Below are 26,131 nucleotides of genomic sequence, written 5' to 3'. Positions count from 1 at the left end.
TCTTGGCTCACTGCAACCTCCACCTCCCGGGTTCCAGTGATTCTCCTGCCTCAGCCTCCTGAGTAGCTGGGACTACAGGCATGCACCACCACAGGTGGCTAATATTTCTATTTTTTAGTAGAGACAGGGTTTCACCATATTGGCCAGGCTTGTCTTGAACTCCTGACCTTGTGATCTACCCACCTCGGCCTCCCAAAGTGCTGGGATTACAGGCATGAGCCACCGCACCTGGCCTCAGTAACTATTATATAAAGTCACACACAATGGTAACTAACTGGCGTATTTTAAAGACAATTTAAAGACAATAATAATAACTAGCATAATTATTAAATCAAATATCTTAAATAATTTAGGATGTACAGTGAACGATGGAGTACTGTACAGCCTTTAAAATTATTACATACTTTATAGAATATATCACGGATAGTTATTTATTAGTGATTAAAATGGATAAAGCTAAGATAAAAAGTACGATTATGGTATGATAGCCACAGCTGTGTGTGTACATGTTTGCACATGTATATATCGGGATGTATGTTATATCTGACATTGTTAAATTAATGTAACAGAGAAGGTTATCTAGCAAAATACATTAAGCTTGCAAATGTTATCCATCAGCTATAGTCTTACAAGAAGCAAGTGGACAATAATTGCCTGCTTGTTTGTCATCACTGCATTAAAGAGCCCAAATCACAATACTTTGATGTAAGATGAGTAACTGGTAATGCTATTTCAGACAAATACTGTAGTCAAAAATGTTTGTCAAGTGATATGTACACTAATTACTCATATAATAACATTTCTCATATTGAATTACTAACCTCTTAAGGTTCTTTAATTTAAATTGAACACTAGTACTAATAAAGAATGTTTTGTGTTATACTTTTCTAGGTCTCAGGGTGGTGAACTTTTTCTTCGAATTCCTAACCTGTGAGCTTACGGTAAGATTATAATTAATTTACCTAATTTTAGAGTTATTTTCATTACCGCTTTTTGATCATGTCCAGTTTTTTTTAAGTAAAGGAAATTCAAATAAGTCATTTGATATTTAACCATAAATGTTGAAGAAATTATGTGATATTTTCTATCAAAATGTTTATGTTCTTGGATAGATTATAGTAATACAGTTATTTGATATAGTCTTTGATAGATTTCTATGTAAATTTTAAGGCATGTCCCGCAAAGGTAAAGATTGATACCACTGAAAACTGTTCTTTGAACATGAATAACAATTTTATCCATTAAATTTTTCATAATGAAGTCTATTTGATGGCAATGAGTTATTGAAAGTAAAACTTATTTTATCACCTGTCAAGATGTATCAAAATTGGGTCTCCCCATGAAGCATGATGTTAGAGCTCCAGGAAGTTGAGAGTAAAGTATGTAACTATGGAAATAAGATGGTAATAAATAACAAGTGACTTCTAAGGCAATTTTTAAGGCTTTAATTATTCATTAACTTCTGTGGTTATATGTATTCAATAAGGTTTGTCAAAAATGTGAATCTGGATTATATTAATAATTGACTACAGAATATACATAAATATGAGTTTATTTGTGTTTTGAAACTGATGAAATTAATTTTCACTAAGCCAACTTTCAGAGTTTATCTGTTGCTTATTAGTAAACATAATAAAGATTTACTTTATAATAAATATATAAAATCCAGATAATGTGGGCATTTGTATCATACATTCTATACTTGGGGGAAATGACATCCTTGGAAGCACAAAGGCAGTTGATTAAAACTCCTATTTGGGCATATAGCATTATTGCAATGTATCTTGAAAAAGATGTTTTAAAATGATCGTAGATAACAGCCATCTCTAAGAACTATAAGGTATACTTTTTCATTACTTTTTAAAGAAACACTCAACATAACATAGGATTGTTTAAAACAAGTGTCATATAGGAGGAAAGTGAAATTCCTCTGCTCTACCAGGAGGACTTTGCTGATAATGGGAGAAATTTGGAGAAATTATTTAGATACACTTTGAGTAATAATTTTATCCCCAAGTACTTATTTTTAAGTTTTAAATTATATTTCACAAATATACCTGAATGAACTTTTTAAATAAATTATTTCAATTTATAATAAGAAACAAAAGTATTCTAAAAATTACTATTATCTCCAGTGTTTTAATTATCTTATATACATAGAGAAAATTACTTATATCTTAAGTGCGCAGTTTTAGTGAATTGTTACAAAATGAATTACACCCATATAACCAATACTGACATAAGTTTTTTTTTTTTAAAAAAAGAACATTAGAGTACTTTGAGTCCTGTTATACTCTTTCTAGTCACTAAACCTATAGAGCATAAGCAATATCTTCAGTTCTAGAAGTATACAGAACATAAGAAGTATCTTTGCTTCTAGAATATAGAAAAAGGAGGCTCCTTTTTCTGTATTCTATAAATGAAATCATACAGTAGGTATTGCTTTGTTTCTTTTGCTCAACATTATGTTTGTAAAATTGTGTGCAGTGGTAAATTGCTCATTTTCATTGCTGTGTAGTATTCAACTCTGTGAATAGACCAAATTATTAACCCTTTCTAATATTGATAGTAACTTAAGTAGCTTCCAGACTTTGGCTTTATCAATAGTGTTGATTTGGATATCAGGAACATGTGTTTTTGGAGAACACATGTATGTATTTTGTTGTGTACATAGGATATGCTCATGTTCTGCTTCAGTACATATTGACAATTCACCAAGTGTTTATCAGTTTTAGGAGCAGGATATAAGAGTTCAGTTGCTCCCTATAGTCACTGACACCGGGGTTTTTCATCCTAACTTCAGCAGTTTGGGTATGTGAATAGGGGTATTATAATTGGAATATATTGAATATTAATGCTATCAAACATTTGTTTTTGCTCTTATTTCTCATGTGGTTACACTATTCGTTGAAATGTCCTAAAACTTTTGCCTTTTTTTTCTTACTAGATTATTTGTCCTTTATTATTAGGTTATGTTTATACATACATATGTTTATACATACATAATATACATATCGGGTTATGTTTATACATAAATACATATATATACATATATGTATGATATATATATACACATATACATATATATACACATATATATATATATATATACATATATATATGCCATTGTATATATCCAATAGAGGATTTAAAACTACCAATTAATAAATCAGCATTATTTCTTTCTTAAAATTCAGAATCAATTCTGCAAATGTGTACTTGCCACAGATTACATTGTCCTTTTATGTATGGTTTTTGAATTGCATGTGTTTTTCCTCATGAAGTAATAATCCTGATTCAAATATATTCTTCGACTAACATTCTTACATTCTTAAATACTTTCTCAAAACTAACCATAGCCAATTATGGAAGTGTCAATTATGGGTTTGAAAATCAGTCATGATAGAAGTATTTTCACAACATAGTTTGAGAAACACCAAAAATAATGGCTTTATTTTTCCTTCTGGAGAGCTAGTTGTGAAATATTTACCAGAGCACCACTGAATATTTGCACTTTATATTCAACTCTTTGGTGGATTTTCTCATTACTCTCTGGATGATATATTTTGATGAACAGAAGTTCTTAATTTTGATTTATTTCTGTTTATTAGGGTTTTTTCATTTTCCTTCTATGATCAAAGTTTTTTATGTCCTATTTAAGATATTTTTGCCTTATCTGTTGTTACTAAGATATTATGGTTTCTCTAAACCATAATATCGTTTAAACTTTTACAGTTAATGGACTCCAGGTGTTACATTGTTCTATGTTTATTACCTTGTGCATTTAAGATAAATAGATTTGCATTAGAATTGTAATTGCTCTGTATATGTTTTAATGTTTTATTATAAAATTCATACATAAATATTAATACATTGATATGTAGTTATTTAATAATTTAATGTATCTATTAAAATAAGCAATATGTAGTATTTTGTTAAATCAATATATATATATTTATGAATTGCCCATTATAAGTTTCATGCAACAATTAGTTATGTGGCCACAATTTTGAAATGAAAATTCAGCACTATAACAAAATTATTTTACTTTAAGCCTAAATGAATTATGATAATTTATTTCCATATGATATTATTAAGGGAACCAAAAGTATGCAATATGAATGTTCTACAGCATCATTAAAATATCAGAATATTAGGCTAACCTTTAAGCATTTAAATGTAATCATTGTTAAAATATATTTATTGCTTCTAAAATATTATGTCTAATAAGTTATATAAGCATATAACAGCCATAATATAAATACAGCCTTAAGTATTAACTACAGAATACTGTTATATGCGCTTCATTAAGATTTTATTTAATACTTGTCTTGTGAGATATATATAGAGAGAGAAGAGAGAGAGAGACATACATATCTTTTTTTGTTTGTTTTAAAATTTTCACCAAAAACACAACTTATTTTGTGTCTGATAGAAAGGATGGTATAAAAATCAGGATTGTTTATTTTTAAAAATTTTGTATCAGTTATGCAAACATACATGTGTTTGCCACAGGTTGCAGTATACACCTTTTTAGAATTGCATGTGTTTTTCCTCATGAAGTAACAATCTTCATTTAAATACGTTCTTAGAATGTTTGTTTTTCATCTCTGGGTCCTTAGTCTAAGCCATGTCATGATTTAAGAGTAACTCATAATGTAACACAATGGAAGTAGAACAGCAAAGTAGATAGTATCTTATTTTAGTAGTTAGCTAACGTGTTTCAGTTCTTCATAATATTGAAACAATGTAATAAAGAAATGTTGGGGTTTATAAATTAAAATCCTTGAAACTAAAGATGGAATTTTATTAATCCATATACTTGGATATTTGAAGAGCTTGGGATTTGTTTCAGAAGATTTTGGTTGCCTGTTTTTTTCTTTCTGCTTTCTTGCCTGTTTTAGGTAGCCAAACATGATGAAATATTGAGCGCAATAATCAAGAGCTAATTAGATGTTTTTCACTTTTTCTAAATTATCGATCTCTGTGTCATAATGAAAGCAGGGAGAACAAAGGTAAAACACAAATAGCTGTCTTGAAGATTGGTTCTAAGACTTTAAGTAGCACTAATACTTCTTATCCTCCACCAGCCATTCCAAAAAGATAAATAATGAGCTTATCTGAGAAATAGAGCATAAGTTATAGAAATAAATATTTCAGGATTTATTTCATGTGTCCCTGAATGTAAGTGATAGTTAAAGGGAAAAATCCAGTTAAGAAACACAAACCACATATAGAGGTAATTGATGCCAGTTAAATTAGCTTAGTTTATTTTCACAGTGGTGACAGGGCTTGGGGAAAAATGAAGTTAAACGACATACAAGTAACATCCTGCATGAAGGAAAATAGTGGAAACTGAAGAATTACTGTGCATTATTTGGACCCAAAATTTAAATACTGAATTATGCAATAGAAGTCTAATCTGAAGTCACAAACACCGTTTGAAGTCCAAATAATAATAATAATGATGATAATACAGTTAGAAAGACGTGGGTAAAAAGTTTTGGTAACATAAATGAAGTTTGAATTTGAGATCACTGCATGCACAAATACTTTCTGGAAATTTTTGCTTCCTATTCAATAATGAATTGATTACACAGAATTGTTAAAGTGCAGTTCTGTGGGGTTATTTTTTTTCCCTAAAAAATATATGGGAAAAATGGAGTTCTAGTTCTGATGAGCACTTTCAACTGATATTTCTGAAAAACTAGTTCAGTGATATTTACTTGTTACAAAATGCCTCACCTAAATCCTTTAGTCTGAATACATATGGATTATCACCTCTTCACACCTTTGGACAGATTATTCCTATCTGGCTAGCTCACACATAATTCTGATTAAATAAATTATCCATCTGTGAATCCCCTAGGCTTAACTTTTAATACTTACTCTATATGATTTACACACTATATCTAGCCTTCCCCCGTTCCCGACATGTCAGGAACAAGTAATTTAGTTTCTAAGACTTTCCTATTTGTCTAAAGGCAAACTTTATCAACCTCTATAAAAATGTGTATGTTATCTTGCTCCCTCTTTGATATACTATGGATATCTGGGAAAATCGAGATTAGACTTTTGTCGATTTGACTTGTTGATAACGAAGTGTTAGGGAAAAAAAAAGAGCTTTAGAACATATTTAAGCTTACTAAAGCCTTTCAATGGCATATATTTAATTCTGGTAGCAATAAAATGGATGGGATTTTATTGTAAAGCTGAGCAGAATTCAGCTTCTAATATGTCAGCTTTACATGACAGATTATTAATAAACTGCCACTGTTATCACATGATACAAATCTTTGGTGACTGACTTTTTAAACTTGAAACTCAAATGTATATTTTAAAGTAAGCTTTACTTTGTGGCTCAGTTCTTCCCTTTAAATACCTTTTTTTTTTCCCCTCTGCTCTGTAGAAATTATTGTGCCATTTAATCAATGGTTTTAATTTCATTACACTTATAACATTCGCAAATGACTAGCGTATCATCTGTGTTGATACATGTGCAGATAGTTAGAGGATTATTACTATTATTACTCGCTGCAGATGATGACAATGACAGAGTAAGAATTAAGAAAATGAATTGACTTTAAACTCTGTATAATGGCCATTACCTAGCAAAATGAGAAAGTGGGCATAGTGCATTTTCTCAACTGACTTTCCCCAGTGTCTTTGCCTTTTTCTCTCTTTTATTCACAACTCCTTATTGTAGATACCCATTATTTTATTCAACAAAACCCACTAAGCATCTGTATGTACTAAGCATTGGGCTAGTATTGGGAAACAGTCAGCTAACAGGGACCCATAGGAAATTTATAGTCCTGGAGAGCTTGTAGGGTCTACAGTCATCCTCCAGCTACAAAAAGGTCTTCATCTGTGAAGTCCTCTATACTATGTGTATATCCTTATCACCCCATCAAAACTTTAGTTACCCATCAGTGGAAAATTAAGAGCTACCTCCCATTAAGTTATAATTAGTAGATGAAGGGACATAGCATCTGATTATCGTTTAAAAAAATGTGTAAACGTCATAGAGGAAAGCATGTAGGAAAACCTATAAATCCATACATGTATGACTCAGTGAGTTGTAAGTAGCATATATTTTCTCACTGTCATAATTGGATGGTTAATATCAAAACTGTTCACTAGTTGGGCAAAGCTGGAAATAAGAGTCCATATTTTCAGTCAGGTATTATTCAGTATTTATTACATGTCACATACTCTTCTGGATGGTTTTATTTGTATAATGATCTTCTAAGAAATCTGAAATGTATTAAAGATGAGAAGGCAGAATATTTGTGGAACTTAGGAAGCCTGATTCTGCTTATAATTAATCGTTTGACCTCCCACCTCAGTCATTTATTTTCTCAAGTCTTCCATGTGTTCTACTACAAAACAAGAAGGATGTGCACTATGAATTTTGAATCCTTTCAAGCTTTAAATTTAATTATTCTAATTATGTCAGTTGATATGCTTTGAGCCACAAATAACAGGAAACTAACTTGCTTAGGCTTTAAGAAAGGCTTCTTATTATACAAATAAGAAGTTAAGAAGTTGTAGAATTTCATGGATGACTCAATGACATAATCAGGGACCTATGTTCTTTTCATCTTTGTGCCCAATGTCCTATCTTAGGTTTGTCCTTGGCCAGAATCCCTCAATATTGAAAGATGTCTGCCGTAATTATAGGTTACATATCTAGGCACGAGATACCCAGTAGAAAAAAAAAGGGGATTTTGCCTTCTTTTTATGCCATAAAAGATTAAGATTTTATGACAATCCCCACTCTTCTGCCTATTGCCAGCAAATACCTTTTCACATCTCTTCTATCAAATGTGTCATATGCCCCAGCCTATAAGGATCATTTACTATTGGCTTAGACCAGTTGTGTTTACCCTCTGCATTTAAAAATGTGTTCTGCTTCCATGGAAGCTCAAGGCTGCATAGAGAAGCATGGAGGGGGATAAAAAATTCAAGTTCCCTTAAGAAGCAGAAAAGGAGAAATGGTTCTTTGCTAGGCAACCAGTGGTATCTGTTATAGTTATTATGCTTTGTTGGTGTACTACATCCTTCTTGAATTAATACTTTTATTTTCCCTGAGGCAATAATAGATAAAATGTGAGTTTACTTTAGAATGAAGTCCCCAGGGATAATCACATCAAATTAAACAGGTGATTGCTTAGGAAGTAGGCAATTGTTATTGTTTACATCCACATCTCTTCTCAAAATTCTTTAGTGACTTTTCATCTTCAAGAGAATAATTTCTGTATAAAAATGTACAGAATGGGGTTTCTCCCTCAGTTTTGCTGCTCTGTTACCATCCATGAGACCGGCATACCTATGTTCTTTGCTCTCAATCTGGTGCCTTCACCCATCCTGTTCTCTCAATAACACAACAATCCCACCCCTAGCAGAACCTCCCACCCACAATCAATCATCTCTGCATTTTTCCTTTGACCAAGACCCACTCACACACCTTTGACTGACAGAAAAGGTACTGCTATTCCTTCATTCCTTCAAATTTCAGCTCAAATGCCACACTCCTTATGCAGTATTTCATGAATCTTCAGGTGACCTATGTGCGCTTTCATTTTCCCATTGACCTTCAACATATTTCCATTAGACTGATTATTTTATATTTTTTATATCTACTTGACCTCTCTCGGCAATGGACTTTCCACACTTTGAGGGTAAAATTGGTGCCCTTGCTGCCTTAGTATTTGACTCTGTAATCACTGTCATAAGGTAAGGTTTACTCTGTGTTTGCTAGAGTATGTGCCTGGGCAACAAAATAGTGTTAGTGTCAGTGTACATAAGCAGAGCGAATGTTCGGAGCATTTCTTTCATTTTTCCATGAGAAGAAAGTAAGATAGGCCGAAGAAACGCTTTTCAATATTTTCCACAAATGTCCAAAGGTTTTACTGCCCCAAAACTTTACTGACAAAGGATGATCTATGAAATATAATTAGTTATGACCCCACTACGAGTGTAAGCTTTTCTTAAAAGCTGGTGTTTAATCTTTGTAAATTGTGCTAATTTTATATTTTATAGTGTTTAGCCTTTTTAAATTATGTTAAATACATAGTCTATGTAATAAAACATCCAGGTTTTATTTAGCATATAAGAATGTTTAGGTATTATTGTGTAAAACTGATTCTCCAGCAAGAATTACATTGTTTTTCCTGATATCCTAGGCAAACCATTATAAGCTCTCGCACAAGTTTAATCGAAAAGCACGTACAGAGAGAAATAATCTGAGTTTAAATTTTTGACCACAACACCATTGCTTATTGCTGTGCTCTTGAGTAATTAATTTAAGCTCATTGTACATTAAACAAATAAAATTCTTATAGTTGTGTATTATAATTTACCTTCATATATATCACAGTTTTTGACAGATCAACATGTGCAAATTATTTTTATCTTATCGAGTTCAAAGATCCATATAAGTAGATAATAACAGTCTTCAAAATATGACAATAGTTTGATTTGTGTTGTCCACGTATAAATGTAATTAGTGAGAATTTTAATAAGTACTGGAAAAGAAAAAAATATATATACACCAAGATGAAATTGCTGGAGAAGAAAAAATGTGCAGGAATAAAAAAGCAAGCCCTAACAGCATAGAATTCAAGTTGTCACAAATGAGGAGGCAGCCAATAAATGATTCATCTTGTGTCCTTCATAGCATATTTATAAATCCATCTGACACTTCTGGCCTGTTAGAGAGTAAAAAAATGAAATTATAGATTCCCTACTATAGAAGACACCATCAACAAAGGGGTTTAAGTAGGGTTACTTGGTCATTTTCATTTATCTCATTTCTCTGTATTCCATCCTTGACAGCTCTAACATATAAATTCTTCAAAATCCTAGGAAACGGGGCCAAAGTTTAATGTTCTGTTTCCTTTTTTACAAGGACATTTGTCTGGTTTCCTAAATGCACAAAAAATGAATAATAATGTAACAGTTTCTGGGAATATGTTAAGGTACAAAAAAATGTAAAAATGATTTAAAAAATAAAGGTACCTGTAGTTTATTTCTGAACGTGTGGCTATTTGTAGCATTTTCTTTATATTTCTTATATGTTAAAAATATTAAAAGCATTTTTATACATTAATAAAGTCTTGCAATATAAATAACAAAAAGAAAGGAAAAATTATTCTTCAGAAATCCATCATCATTCTGCATTCAGATTGTGAGGTATCAAAATAAAAAGGATTTTTATACCTTCCTTTCCAATCCTTATTTAGATTTGCATTTAGATTACATCATTCAATACATGCAATTTTTTGCAATTTTAAATTTAATAAACATTTCACTCATCAGAAGTGTATCTCCATTTCTACATAGTCTATAAATGTTAATTTTAAAAACCGCATATTTTTTCAGATCAGAAAATTCCTAATCAAAACAGATGAAGCAAGAGTTTAGTGAGCTTAAAAAGGTTTGTTTAGAGTTGCAAAAAGTGAGGTAAATTAATAAAATATATTGTTAGTTTACAATTACTCATTCAGATAATCCTTTCCACTTTACAAAACCTTTTACACATATTAGTAAGTTTTAATAAAATATTTGAATATAACTTTTCACTTTATTAAGCTTCTTTTTATGGGATTATGTAAGATTAAGTTAGTTATCAGGACATTGGAGACCTTGAGATAATTTTGAAACTAGGTAAATTTGAAAACTGCATGTCATTCATTTAAATCTTTATGAAGCAAATAGTACATAGCCCATAACAGGTTAGCCTTAGGTGCACTGCAAAAAAAAAAAAAAAAAAAAAAAAAAAAACAGAAGATTCAAGTCTCTCTTTTGTTCAGCTTACATTTCTGGAGGCAGAACAAGAAATATCTTCAGAAGTAAAATCTAAGTGTGATATATTTTTTCTAAGTGCTAATAAATCCAAAGACAGTCACTGAACTAGAGTTAGGAAAAACAATTCAGAGATGGGTTTTCTTGAGTTACATATTAATACAGGAGTTCCTAAATATAATGACCTTTAAAAATCTTCTTGGAAAGCTTTTAAGACATATGTACCCCAGGATTCGAAGATTTTGGTTCAGTAAGTTTGAAAATTGTTTAAAAAAAGAAAGCTCCAACCCAAAGGTTCTCACAATTTGGTGTGCAAGAGAATCATCTAGTAAATCTGATAAAAGTGTGAATTCACGAACCTCAGCCTAAGAAATTCGAATTTAGTTGATCTAATGTGGAGTCAGAAATTTTTAAAATATAAATTTAAATTGACAAGGCCCCCTGCATTCCTCATGCCAACTCTGTTATGCCAGGGAGATTCTGAGTTAACTTGTTTCTAAAGGGTAACAGGAGAAGCATTCCTCACAACTGATGAAAATTTGGAGAAAGAGTACTTCAAGAACTTGGGCATAGCTCCTTCATTTGGAAAGCTCATCAGAATCACTCATGGAGATTTTCTTTTGCACATCTGTGAGCTCCTCCTCAGGTTAAATGAATAAGGATCTACAAAGTTAATACACAGGTACTTAAACTTTAAAAAGCTCAGCTGGTGTTTCTAATAGCCTCTTTGGCTGACATACTCATTAAATACACTCTTGGGAGGCCAGATGAGCATGCTATTCTAATGATCCACAAGCACTGGTAGCTATTAGAATGAGCTGGAAAACTTGGTAAATATAAAACAACCCAAGCTCTCACCTACTCAGTTGAACCTAGGCCAACATGTCTTTTACTTCCTCTTTAAGTGACTCATATGCCCATTTGGTTTGAGAGCCATTGGGCTAAGTCATGTGGAGAAGAAAGCCAGGATATCAATGGATAAGGTTAACTGAAGTCAAGATTTAAATGCTCAGGTAAAGCATGTTGGTTGTCAATATGAGTCAATTCTAGTTCTATAGTATGAGAATGCAAGATAAGAGTATTACTTGGGCATACCAATGTATTAATGATCTCTTTCAAACATCATATATTGGATGCATGGGATATTACTTAATGGAAGCTTTATGGTTTTGTTTATATGGTTGCAGAATGATTTTCATATAACATAATGTTTAATCCTTGGCATAAAAGCCAAGGATAAAAGCATCAACAGCTGTCCTGATCCTCTGAATGTGGTTTCCTTATTTTTCTTACTATGCTCCAGCTCTGTAGGCTGTCCCTGAGTTCTGGAATTGGTCTATTCTTCAGCAATCACAGTATTTCCAGAATCTACCACCATATTTCTTTCTTGTCCATGCAGAATAAAATAAGGAGAGAGTGATCCATGGTTTGGGTACAGATAGAAGAAAAATAACCAAAGCTACTTTGATGATCATGACAATAAGGTAATTAAAAAGATACTGGAGTTATCATATTGTCAAAGCATTCTGATCCCACCTTATAATAGTCTATCCATAAGGTAGTTCCCAAATGAAGTAACCCAGCAAATTTGCACAGCGCACCTAAGCCATGGATTCTTCTCACATTTCAAACTTATCGGGATAGACTTGCTCCTTACAACTTTTATTACTATATCTTGACCACCCCTTGCCCCTTTTATTTTTAATCTCTTTCTGCTCCTACCAAAGAGAAGGGTCAGACTGAAACACATTATATATTTCTTATAATAAAGTGGGTACAATTATAACCATACAATTAGCTAAAATTTTATATTCAGTTGAAAAAGGTGATTTATTAAAAATGTTCTAATAGTCATTCATCTAGCAATAAATATTTGGTGAGCAGCTACTGTGTTCTAGACCATTGTCTTTCTGCTTGAGTTACACCGTAAATACAAGCGGCAAAGATGTCTGCCCACATGGAGCTTGGATTCCAGTGTGGAGAGATGGTGATAGAATAATCTAGCATATTTAAAGGTTATGTATTTTACAGAAAATAACAAAAAGTAGAACAGGTTGAAAGGAAATAGGAGATTTGGGGATAAGGAGATGTGGGGTGGGTAGAAATATAATTGTAAATAGGATGCTTAGAGTTGAATTATCCAAAACAACAGATTTGGGCAAATTTGCTCAGGAACTAAAGGTGTTAGCCATATAGATACCATGAAGGAGAGGGGTCTAATTGTAAAGGCAAAGGCTGAAAGGAGGCTTGAAAAATAGCAAAGAGGACAGTGCAATAGGAGCAGAGGAAGGCAGAGTTCTAGGACCTGAGGTCAGAATAGTAACAGAGGTGGGGTTGAAGGCAGGTCAGGTAGAGCTTTGGCTTTAACACTAAGAGCAGTGAGAAGCCATTGAAGGATTTTAAGCAGAAGGATGATACTAAGGTAATTATCTCTGTTGACAATGGCAAATAGGGTATGGTCTTAAAGCCAGAAGCCATTTTTAAAGGCTACCGTAATGCAGATAAGAAATAATAGGGGCTTCATCCAGAATAGTGGCAGAGGAGGCAATGAAAAGAATTTAGATAAATTTTCTAGGTAAATTTTGAAGGATTTGTTGGCAGAATTTCCAACCAATTGCCTGAGGGACATAAGAGAAAGAGGAATCAAGGATGGCTTGGGGATTTGAGAGCTAAGAACTTAACTGTGGAGCTGCCTTTTACCAAAAAATAAAAATAAGAAAAAATAAAGAATATGAGTGTGAGGAAAACAGATATGGGGGACACAGAAAATCAGATCAATTTTGGACATGTTGAATTTCAGATGTCTTTTAGACTCCGAAGTTGGGTATCAAGTAGTCATATGGATATATGAGGCTTCATTTTGGAAGAAATGTCAGTCCAGAAGATTAAAAAAGTGAATGTTGGTGGCACAGAGATGACATTTAAAGCCATAAAATGAGAGAAAAATCCTTAAAGCAGCATGTATACATAGAGAGAAAATGTCTAAGTCTGAGCCATGGGCCATTCCAACAATAAGAGCTTGGAAGGAGAAGGAACCAACAAATGAGAGAAGGTACAACCAGTAGATAGAAAGAGAAAGAAAAGTATGTGATGTCTTTCAATCTAAGAGAAAAGATCTCATCACCTCTGAAGAGAAACAGATTTTTACCAACACGGATGTTTTATAAATTAGTACCCTTCTTTTGTTTGGAAAGTAAGAGTGTTTTTTTCAGTTAAGGCTTAAACCTAAATGCCTTTTTCCCTGCACATTTCTAACTGTAGTTCTGAAAATAGAGAGAGGCTATTCTTTTTATACTTGTCCATTTGCTTGTTCTTTGTGAAAATCTAATTTTACCCCAAATGGTTTGATGATAAATCAGTGGCCATTTACTTAGTAGTGTTGATGAAAAAGAGTCAAATTATGTAAAATATTTGAATGGATTTATTCTGCGTCAAATATGCGTGACCAATACGTGAGGCACAGTTGCAAGAAGTCCTGAGAACATGTGCCCACACTGTTTAGGTTACAGCTTGATTTTTTATACATTTTAGGGGGACAGAAGTCACAGGCAGACATCAATCAATACATGCAAGGTATCCATGGGTTTGATCTGGAAACGTGGTGTAAGGAACATGGCTGTGCTTTAGTCAGGGGTAGGCCAAGGTATGATGTTTACATCCTGAGTGACTCAGTGAGTTTAGAGCGCAGGCGTATAACTCCGCTTGTTATCACAACCATGTAGCCATAACATAGGAAGGCCATCATTGGCTCTACAACACTATTGTCTGTGAAACGTATAACTGCCCTGCTAATGCTGTACAGGCTTGCTTGGCTCTTGGGGCTCAGCTCGGCTCAACATGGCTTGACATGGCAGGCACATGGCACCCAGAGAAAGAGAGAGAGTGAAGGCTACCTGTCTTGCAGATAGACAGGAGGGAGCCAGGACACAGCTCGGCTTGCTCGTGCCCAGAAAGAGAAAGAGTTAAGCTACTGACCATGAAGGCAAGGGAGAACCTGCTGCACAGCTGTGCATGGGGGCAGCTGGCTCAAGCAGCCAAGACAGGGCGGACAGTGTGAAAGTAAGCTGCTAATGAGAAAGCTACTTTAAGCTGTGTAAGAGAGCTGCTGCTGAATAAAGCCATATTCACCTGCCCACGGCCCCAGAGTGTACTTTCTGCCCATCCACCCACTCCCCTTGGACTTCAGCATGGGCTGGAACCGGACCCTAGGACCTGACAACTGGCAATAAGGGTGGGATGAAGTGAGTGGGTCTTCAGCCCCTGAGGCTTGCCCGGTCAGCCATGTGGCTGCAGCATGGGCTGTGGTACCCGGTGGCAGTGGTGCTGCTTGGATGAGCCTCAATGGAAACATGGGAGGCAGTGGACAGATTCCCTGTGAGTGTGGAGGAGGCGCTGAAGCACCTGAGGTGCACAACACCAAGGAGGAACATATCTTTGCCAGCAAAGTCGGATAGGCATTTGTAACTGTGCTGCGGGAAATACATGCCTAGTCCCTGCAAGATGCAACATTTCTAGAATCTACCACCATATGTTCTTGCAGGCTCGCCCTGTATTCCACCAGAAAATAGAGCATGAGAAGCTATTAGGTCCAGGGGTGGTCCCAGAGACCACCTACTGTGGTGGAGTGTACTTCCTCTAGTGCCTGTGTCCTGGCTGAGTTGTGGGAGTTAAGTAAGTAAGGTCCACAGTCATGTACAGACTTAGTGCAAGACGTCTGAGAGAAGAACATTGCTGTGCAACCCAGTCCTGCCCTAGCATTCCAGTTCAAAGAGTACCTGCTGTGGTTGGTGGAAGTGTAGTTTTTTTCTGTTTGGTAAGAGAACTGGCCGAGAAGCCCGACTTGAGGGGGCACCGGACAACCGGAGCCACATGTGGACTTGGCAATCCACTGGTCTCTGAACCCAGATAAGTTTCCAGGCAGAACTGCATTTATTGGCAGCTGTGGAAGCTGGTCAGTGGAAGTGAAACCTCTGTCTGCACCTTGGCATTGGCAGCTTGGCTCTCCACTTATGCACCGCTTATGTCTCTCCCATGCCTGAGGATATTCTGAGGGTGGATGTTTTTCATGGGTTGGCAGCTGTACGGTCTGTCACAGACTTGCTGGACCACTTGACAACAGAACTGGAACTTCTTGTCCAGAGAGCCAGGAACAGTTTACCTTCATGGGAGGGCAACAGTGGACTTTCGCAGTGTTGCTGGAGGGCTATGTGCATAGCTCCACTATATGTCATAGTCTTATTGATGATGTTATGCTAACCTCTCATTCTCTTGCAGAGTTAGAAACAGCAATGCCCCTCTTACCTGGGATTGGATGATGAGGCTGAGACAGCCAAGCAGCCTATTCAGTAGGCACAAGCCCTACATGTAGTTAACCAGGGGTGCCTATTAAAACTGAATGTGCATGTGACCACAGATAGTTTTGGCTAGGGCCTAAACAATGCTGGAGCAGTTGGAAGTGCCAGTAGGCTTTTAGTCCCAGCTGCGGGAGGGAGCTAAGTGCCAGTGTTCATTAATAGAGAAGCAGTTAGTAATAGCGGGATGGGTGTGTTCATGGGTAACCAACTCCCAGACTGGGAAGCAGTTAGTAACTGCATATGCTGCCCTTCATGCTCAGAGTGTGGTAGGACAGTCTACAGTCATCCTGTAGACAACTTACCCTATAGCGGGATGGGTGTGTTGATGGGTAACCACGCCCCAGACTGGGAAGCAGTTAGTAACTGCATATGCTGCCCTCTAGGCTCATAAGAGTGTGGCAGGACAGGCTACAGTCATCATTCAGATGACTTACCCAATAACGGGATGGGTGCACTCATGGATAGCTACCCCCCCGGACTGGAACGTGCGGACATCCACTTTAGTGATGTGGGGCGCCTACTTAGAGCATTGAAGTACACTGAGTACAAGTCCCTTAGTAGCAGAGTTACAAAAAGGCTTAGGACCTGTAGTCCTAATGCAACATAAGGCCTTGGGGCCTAAGGTCATGGGGCCTGAGACACCCCTAGATCCTGAACCTTCACTGTTAGGAAGGGTGTCCCCGAATTCGTAATAGGGCATTATATACAGATAGGTCTACCTGGGGTGCTCCTTCTGCCTGGACTTTTGTCTCAGTCCAGCCTAGTACTGATAACATATGGTTTAAAACCAGGTGTAAACGGAGTAGCTAATAAGCTAAACTCAGGGCAGTGTGAATGGTAATCACCAAGGAGGTGACATCTGTGGTAATCTGTGCCAATAGATGGGCAGTTTATCAACGCTTATGTATGTAACAGGCCTGCGTGCTCAGTTGCTTGTGTATGTATCGGACCTGCATTCCCAGTTGTATGTCAGGCTTATGGGTCAAGCCTGTCTATGTATCAGGTGTGTGTACCCAAAGTTTGTATGGCAGGCCTGTGTGACAAAACCTGTGTATCAAACCTGTGTGTCCAAGCCCTATGTCTCCCTCGGCCAAAGGGGTGGAGTGTAAGGAATATGGCTGTGCCTTAGTCAAGGATAGGCCAAGTTAGGATGTTTACATTCTGCATGACTCAGTGAGTTTAGAGCACAGATGTATAACTCCACTTGTTATCACAACCATGTAGCCATAACATGGAAAGGCCATTACTTGGCTCTGTGCCACTATTGTCTGTAAAAGGTACAACTGCCCTGCTAACACTGTACAGGCTTGCTTGGCTCTTGAGGTTCAGCTCGGCTCAACATGGCTTGACATGGTGGGCGCGCTGGCACCCAGAGAAAGACAGAGAGAGCCAAAGCTGTCCATCTTGCAGATGGACAGGAGGGAGCCAGGTCACAGCTCAGCTTACTCGTGCTCAGAGAAAGAAAGAGTTAAGCTGCTGACCCTGAAGGCAAGTAAAAGCTGGCTGTGTGCTGTGCATGCAGGCTGCTGGCTCAAGCAGCCAAGATAGGGTGGACAGTGTGAAAGTAAGCTGCTAATGAGAAAGCTAGTTTAAGTAAGCTGTGTAAGAGAGCTGCCGCTGAATAAAACCATATTCACCTGCCTATAGCCCCTGAGTGTTCTTTCTGCCCATCCACCCACTCCCCTCAGACTTCAGCATGGGCTGGACCAGGACTCCAGGACCTGACACATGGGACAACTTGAAGGGGGCTTCCAGATCATAGGTGGATTCAAAGCTTTTCTAACTGGCAATTATCAAAAAATCTGGAATCAATAGAAAGGAATGTTTTGGTTAAGATAAGGGGGTGTGGAGACCAAGGTTCTTATGCAGATGAAGTCTCTAGGTAGCAGTCTTCAGAAAGAATGGATGGTATTAGTCTCTTTTCAGATCTAAAAAGGTACCAGTTTCTTAATTAATATCTGTTGGATTAGGAAAAGCTCTGGAAAGGGAAGGGGTTTCTCTATAGCATGTAGATTTTTTTCTCCCGAGAGAGAGCTTTGCAGTGCATTTCAAAATATGTCAAAAAATTTTATTTTGGGATAAAATACTTCAATTTCTTCCAGGGCTTGCTATCTGCTATGCAATGCTATGTTAGAGTTAGGTTGGAGTTCGGTATCTTATTGGTACAAAGAGTCTGCTTTGTCATTCTTAAGATCTCTGTTTTAATGTTAATGCTGATCAATTGTGCCTGAATTCCAAAGGTAGGAGGCTACATTTAGGTATGTCTGGACACCCTTCCCCCCTTCCATCATGGCCTGAACTAGTTTTTCAAGTTTAATTTGGAATGCCTTGGCTGAGAGGAGGGTACATACAAGTCAATTGCGGGAGCTATAATTTTGTTTTTGGTTTACAATGGCAATGAAACCCAGACAATTTGCTGAAAGGATACTACTTTTCTTCCATTGATGGACGTTATCTCTCACACTCAAAATAATGAATCAGCATTCTGTGGATAAAGCACTGAGTCTCAGGGGGATAAGTTCCCTAAAGTGATAGAGTAACAAACAGAACCACCATGTCCATCTCAGTTGAAATCTTTACTCTTTTCTACAGTAGAATTGAAGATACTGTCTGAGATTAGAATACAGGTTTCTAATCCTTTGTTCTTTTCTGATAACGAAAGGACCCTGCAAGGCACTGAGAAATCTTTGAGGCTTCACTCCATCATCATCAAGATTTTGAACCACAGAGCTCTCAATTTCTTGCCAGGAATTATATTTTGAAGTTTGGATGTAACTTGATCATCTGACCATCTAAATTTGAAGGATTTGGGTTGTGTTAGCTCTCAGAGATACAAAGACAAAGTTATATACTTTAAACAATTCATTTATCTTAGATGGGGCCCTAGCAACAATAACTTACTGAAAATTATTAACTGAGGATCTACAATGTGGGAAGGCACCAGGCAAGAAAATTGGGGGCAAGTTAGATTCAAAGTGTGAAACACAATTGATAGACTTCTAGGAATTTACAATCTATTTATGACTGTTATGAATAATAAATAGAGTTGAACCCTTGAACAATAAAGATTTGGACTGGCAGGTCCACTTATATGTAAATTTTTTCAATAAATGTTACACCAAACGTGCCTCCTTCCCCTTCTACCTCCTCCACCTCTTTTTCCTCTGCTTTCCTGAGACAGCAAGACCAACCCCTCCTCTTCCTCCTTTCTTCAACTTACTCAGTGTGAAGACAATGAGGATGAAGACCTTTATGATGATCCACTTTCACTTAACAGTAAATATATTTTCGCTTTCTAATGATTTTCTTAATTACATTTTCTTTTCTCTGGCTTACTTTATTTTAATAATACAATATATAATACATATAACATACAAAATATGTATTAATTGACTATGTTATCAGTAAGGTTTCTGGTCAATAATAGGTTATTCATAGTTAAGTTCATGGGGAATCAAAAGTTACACAAAGATTTTTGGCTACCTGTGGGGTCCCCCACATTGTTCAAGGGTCAACTGTACAATCTAAGGCCATAAAAGGAGTAATTTAAGACACAAAAAATAAATTTAAAAGGAAGCAAAGGTTCTATTTTAGTTTTAATATGCATAATTTCTAGAGGAGGACAATCTTTTGAACTTTCAGGTGTATTCGTTAGTTTTGCATTTATTAAATGTTAATATTTGCATTAAAAAATTTAATCTCTTATAAGGCATTTAGATATAATTTTCTCATATAATATAATGGGAAAGGTACTTATAGCTAATGTTTTTTGTAGTTTTATCTGTATATTCAGAAACATAAGAAATCAGGACATATTTTGTGACCTACTTAAATGCCAAACGTGGTTTCTTCTTGTACTAGATTTACAACATATTGAACTTAGCCTATTTCTAAAATAGAAAGCAAACAGGAAAGAAATCAGTTAAGATGCTTTCCATCCTACAATAATGCTGAATTTTAGTGGCACAATATATGAAGTGTCATGTAATTATGTGCATGTGTATATGTTTATGTGTGTGTGTTTCCAGAGTTGATGAAACTATAATACGATAAATAAAGACAGGTTTAGGGAATCACTCTACAGGGTTATTTATACTTGTCTAACTCTATAAACACCAGCTTTCTCCCTTTTTCTGGTGAACTCAGTCAATAATGTGTGATGTTGCTCAACAGGTGACTGGTCAATAATTATGGGGGGAACATTCAGGTTTATATAGGTAAACAATGAAAAGACTGTGGCCATATATCTGCCCTAATAAGATATTTTATTATATTAGAAAGTCTTCTAGAAGCATAAGAAATAATATCATACGTCAAATATTATGTAAAAAAATGAACATATTCATAATACATACATGTTGGCAGTATTACAAACACAGTCTTCTAAAGTCCATGCTCAAAACTCTGAAATGTTTCACATTATGCACTTATGCCTTTAAACAAACCACTTTTAGAACTGAGTCTAAATTTTCTAATATAGAATTATTTTCCTCTTTGCACAAATGATAAAAATTCTAACCCATTAGACAAAATCATAGATATAAAATAGCTTGTATAATATAGAATATGTAGACGTATAAGCAAGCAAATTAAAATCCACATTTTGCAGATAGACTTTATTTCATTGAATAATTGAATATGCAGTTTTTCCTGGCTTGGAATGTAATCACTTTATTGACCTATGATTATACCTTGACATTATGTACATTATGGGGCAAATTCCATTAAGTCTAAGTTTCCTGCGTAGTTAAGAAGTGTTGACGTTTCCTCTGCAATTCTTTTTATCTCTATTTCTCAGTATCCGTGTAGAGATTCTTATTCATTTGAAGACACTGGAGTTGAATTCTAATGAGTCAAGCCTCAAGTGTTCATTTCATGGGTAATTTCTTCAGGTGCCAAACAACGACCAATATCTTCAGGTGCCAGAGGAGTGTGATTGTTCATTTTCTCTTGGATGGTGCCAGAATATATTTCTTTCAAGATATTTAACCCTACAGTATTTGCTTGACATGGACCCCCACTCCCCCGAACCATGTCAACATTTTTTCTAAATAGCTCCCAGTGTAACCTAAAAACAAGAGTAGGATCAAAGAAAAAAAAAAATAAAACAGGACCATTTGTCACAGTGTGCACTAGTAAGTAAATACTGCAGTCTTTATAATATTGAGGCAGAAGAATATATTAGTCTCTATCCATTAGTCAGACATTCACCCATAAAATGCTCAAATCTCATTTGAATGGACATTCTCTGGTGTGCAGTGTGTGAGAGGCCACATCCTTATTGGCACAACATTGAAGATAAATTACTTGATAGTGTTTTCCATATTTCATACACCCACATGAACCAGTGGTTGAGTTTGCAATTAATATTTTTGGATTCTTGCCCACATATCCCATGAAATACTGTCATATGAAAGCGTAAAAGGTGAAGTTTCAATCTAACTTTTCTAGCCCATCCATAATAAAATGTTCATAAATGGCATCAATTCTCAGATGTCATGTTCCCATCATTGTCCAACTCATTGCTTTTAAAATACCCAGAATCTGTAGCAAGCAATGCTCACATATGTAAGCTTTGTTGTCAGAGGGTATATGCCTGCAGCTGTCAACTTTCCTCCTTCACTCCAGTAGGGCCCAATAATCAGCAATTAAGTAACTGATACGTGAGAATGTGTAAGCATTATTTTCTTAGTCTAAATGTAATTATTGAACTTTGAAACACATTAAATTCCTTTGCTTCATTTGTCTAACAATTTCCAAGTATAAAACTTAATATTTTCTTCCTACCTGAATAGCTTGCTAGGAAGTCCCTTATTGTCAACAATATAGTCAAGCATATTTGTATTTACTTTTCAGTAAAGAAAAATTGTATGCTTTCTTTACTAACCTTATTAATTCAGTAAGTAAGGGGTATCCATACTGTCATTTAGAAACACCAAAACACTGTAGAAAGAGCATGATCTTTGGAATACCAATGTGGAAAAAAAAAATCCGAGTTTTTCTACCTTCTACTTATAGAGTTTGGGCAGTTGTCTTAATTATTTGAGTTTCAGTATCCTCATCTGTTAAATGGGAATTATGTCATTTGTTATTACCTTGAAGGGTATTTCTGGAGATTAAGTGATTAGGTTTGTACAATGTTGGCAGAAATGCTGCTTAGTAAGTGTTGGCAATGAATATTATTAATAAGAAATTAGAAAAAAATAAACTGAATTCATTCATTCAATAAATATTAAATGTTTTCTTTGTATAAATCCGTATAACAATTTCTCAGAAACATATTTATAGGGATGAAATTTTAGTTCATTTTCTGTCAATCAATTGCTTTCACAATATCAAAGGAAATCTTAATAGGAGCAGGCGACTGCAGTAAGCTACATTACAAACTATCTTCCCAGACATTAGATGTATTGGCATGCTTTGCTGCCTTTGCCTCCATATTTAATAAAAAAGAAATTGAATAAATTATTATACTATCACAATGTAAATATGGTCCCAGTGTCCATAATTGCTTTCATTTTTTGAAATGGAAGAAGACAGTCCACTTAAATTAGCTTTTGAAATCTGACCAAATGCTCCAGATGTTCTAGCACTGTCAGTAGAGCTTGTCTGTGATCCATGTCAGAATAGCAGCTGTCAACACGAAAGCACACCTGCCACTGGTTTACTGTCAGCAAATGACTTTTCAATTGTATTAGGAAATGAAGCAAAGTGCTGAATGAAGCATTCATCTTTGAAAAGCAGCCATGTCACAATGTGATTTTGCTCCACAAAAATGCAGAAATCTCTAAAGTCTTCCCAGTCACTAACCTTGAACCGAGGAATCTAGTCTTCTTGAGCACTAACCTTGAACCCAAGAAGCAATGTCTGCAAAACACTAGATAAATCTCAGAGCATTCTTAGGTCATTAGACAGAAGAAGTTTGCTATAGGCTTACTACAGAGAAGCAAGTATTTGCATATAAAAGAAGTCCCACTAAAAATTGGCACAATTCATTTCATAAGCTGAAGTAAGTTATAAAGAACTACATTTAGGAAGTTAAAATTATTTAATAGTCAATACTTTTCAAGATTTGATTGAAAAGCTCATCGTTTGGAGTAACAAAATTTTAGAGGTTTGAAAGTTTTACTAATGTCTCAAAATATGACTAAATATAGAAAATGGCAATTGACTGCGAAATTATCCAACAAAAGCAAAAACAATGACTGACTTGAAATTAAAATCACTTCCTTCTTCAATACTCTTTATGTACTGCTTTCCTTCTGTTTTGTTAAGAGATGGCGTGGAATAATGGAAATGGCATGGATTTTTGAATCAGACTGGGTAAATCAATTTACCTCTCTGAGCCTTTGTTTCTTTATTGGTAAAAGTGAGATACTAATACCTGTCTTAACTGAGGAGTAAATGAATATTGACTATTATGAAAGTGAGAGGAGAGTCTGACACCTAGAAAGCCCTTCAGGTGATGGTGATAAAGAGTTGGGCTTATGTGTCTTTATACTTTTGCTTATGGATTGCTTCTTTTGCCTCATGGCTTCAGTTTACTTCCTCATTTTTTTTTTCTCACTTCTATGTCAGCCAACTCTGATTTCTTTCTGCATGTCTTTAATTCAAACTCACTGAGAGATGATCCCATTGTTCCACATTTTCCTTTTGGGGAGCAACTTACAGTATCCTAAATTACAGTCCACTAGCAGATACATAAGTTGGTTTGGGGCAGTGTCCCTTACTCTGGTACAATCTGGTGGGGCTTAGTTTGTGGGGTTCTAAGATCAGCTTTTTATCCCAGGCTATATGCAGTAGGACTGGCATGTACTAATTCACCATTAAAATGGAAAGTCCAATGGAATTAAAGAAGGCTTGATGAAAGAAGAACAAAGGATGTACTGAGAACCATATAGGAGCCAAACATTAATGTAATATCTTCAGCCTGTACTCTGGAAGATCAAATCCAGCTTTATGCGAACCTGTGTCAGAACTCCAGTAGGTAGATACAGAGTGAATTTTCATATATATATATTCTATTACCATTTCACTAATGTGTTATGTATAGAATAAAAGACTTGTATTGATGTAAAATTAAATATAATCAATGTTGCCTAGTACTACCACTGGAAAGCTAGAATATTCGAATAGATAACTGGAATTATTCACCTTTAGGGAATAATTAGAGACCCTTAATTTAAATACTGAATTTCTAAAGCTTGTAAGGTTTTGACCTCCGTTTGTCAGCTTTATAAGATTTTTCAGTTAAGCATTTACTGATCCTTCTCAGGTAAAATTTATGCAGTTTATTTAGCGCCAGGTTGATTATCACTATAAATGAGCCCCTCCATACTACCCCAGCTCCTTGAAACATTCATATGCAGGTTTAGGGTGAACATAAGTTCTTATTTTTCAAGAATATACATTAAATTATAAATTGAGTGTAACTATGGGGTCATGTAGTATTTACATGATTAAATTTGCATGATAAATTTTCAGACCATTTTTCAGATAACTCTAGGAACTTATATTCCTACTAGCAATTCATGAGTGATACAGTTTCTCTACTTGCCAACATTTGGTGATATCATTAATTTTTATTTTAGCCATTTTTAGTTAATGTGTAGTGATATGTTCTTGTGATTTTAATTTACATTGATGGCTAATGATATTGAACATATTTTCATGTACTTATATACTCTCTATATCCTCTTTAGTAAAATGTCTGTTCATGTCTTTTGCTCCTTTGCTATTTTTTTATTGTTGAATTTTGAGAGTTCTTTATTTTTTATACTAGCCCTTTGCCAGATAAGTGATTTGCAACTAGTTTATCCCAGGAAGTAACTTATCTTTACATTCTTTTCATGCGGGGTTTTACAGAGCAAAAGTTCTTGTTTTTATGAACTTTGTATTATGGCTTTCCAGAGCAACAGAACCAATAGGATAAATTGGGATATATATTAACATTATATAATATATATATGCTATACTATACATAATACTATACATAATATATTGTCCTACATATCATACCATATATATAGTATATAGTGCATAATATACTACGTATAATACTATACATAATATACATTAATATATAATTTTATATATAAAATTATACATTTCATATATATAGAGAGAGAACTATATGTATATGAGAAATATATATACTTCTTTCCATAGAGAGAGGGAGAGAGATTATAAGAAATTGGTTTATGTGATTGCAGGAGCTGGCAAGTCTGAAATCTGTAGGGAAAGCTGGCAGGATGGAGATTCAGGTAAGAGTTGATATTGCAGCCTAAAGTCTGAAACTTAGGCAGAATTTCTATGCTACAGTAGAGGCAGAATTTCTTCTTTGGTAAACCTAAGTCTTTTCTCTTAAGGCCTTCAACTGATAAGATGAATTCCATTCATGTTATGGGGGGTAATCTGCTTTATTCAAGGTATCATTTAAATGTTAATCACATTTTAAAAATATATTCACAGCAACATTTAATTTGGGGTTTGACCAAACAACTGGTCACTACAGTCTAACCAATTTGGCACTAAAAATTAGTCCAATTATCTATTGGGCAGAAAGCCCAATTTATTTATTTTTACTTTTATCCATCATTCTTTTGATGTCATGTCTAAGAAATCTTTGCATAGCCCTAGATCCCAAGATATTCTGTGTGTTTTGTATACATTCCTAAAAGTTTTGTATTTTGTGTTTTGTATTTAAGACTATTCTTCATTTTGAGAGTTTTTATGTAAGGTATGAGGTTTAAGTTGAGGCTCATTGTTTGGTCTATGTATGTTCAATTGTTCCACCATCATTTGTTGAATCATTTTTCCATTGAATTGCTTTTATCTCCTTGTCAAAAATCAGTGAAGCATGTGTATGAGACAATTTTGTATAAGTGTTTTTATGACATGTTTTTACTTTTCTTAGGTAAATAACGAGGCATGGAATTGCTGGACCATAGCGACTGTTTAAGTTTAAT

The 26,131-nt window shown here is 35.1% G+C and overlaps 1 protein-coding gene across 38 annotated transcripts in view, besides 1 other annotated feature; it reads left to right on the top strand.

Moving 5' to 3' along the window:
* Positions 1 to 26,131, top strand: part of PTPRD (protein tyrosine phosphatase receptor type D) — a 2,298,757-nt gene that overhangs the window by 1,037,330 nt on the left and 1,235,296 nt on the right. For all 38 annotated transcript variants that reach the window (NM_002839.4, XM_017014961.3, XM_006716827.5 and 35 more), the window contains one exon: positions 892 to 941. The gene's annotated coding sequence lies outside the window, so the exon portion shown is untranslated. The remainder of the gene's footprint in view (positions 1 to 891; positions 942 to 26,131) is intronic.
* Positions 18,111 to 18,784: an enhancer, noted in NCBI's record as "OCT4-NANOG-H3K27ac-H3K4me1 hESC enhancer chr9:9556889-9557562 (GRCh37/hg19 assembly coordinates)". NCBI's record gives its function as "activates a minimal SCP1, AML or CMV promoter by ChIP-STARR-seq in naive H9 embryonic stem cells {active_cell/tissue: H9 hESC(naive)}" and the evidence as "EXISTENCE:reporter gene assay evidence [ECO:0000049][PMID:30033119]".

Source organism: Homo sapiens, chromosome 9, assembly GCF_000001405.40.
Source record: "Homo sapiens chromosome 9, GRCh38.p14 Primary Assembly".
Lineage (NCBI taxonomy): Eukaryota > Metazoa > Chordata > Mammalia > Primates > Hominidae > Homo > Homo sapiens.
The sequence above is the reverse complement of the archived record's forward strand: the minus strand, read 5'-3'. Positions and strand labels throughout refer to the sequence as shown.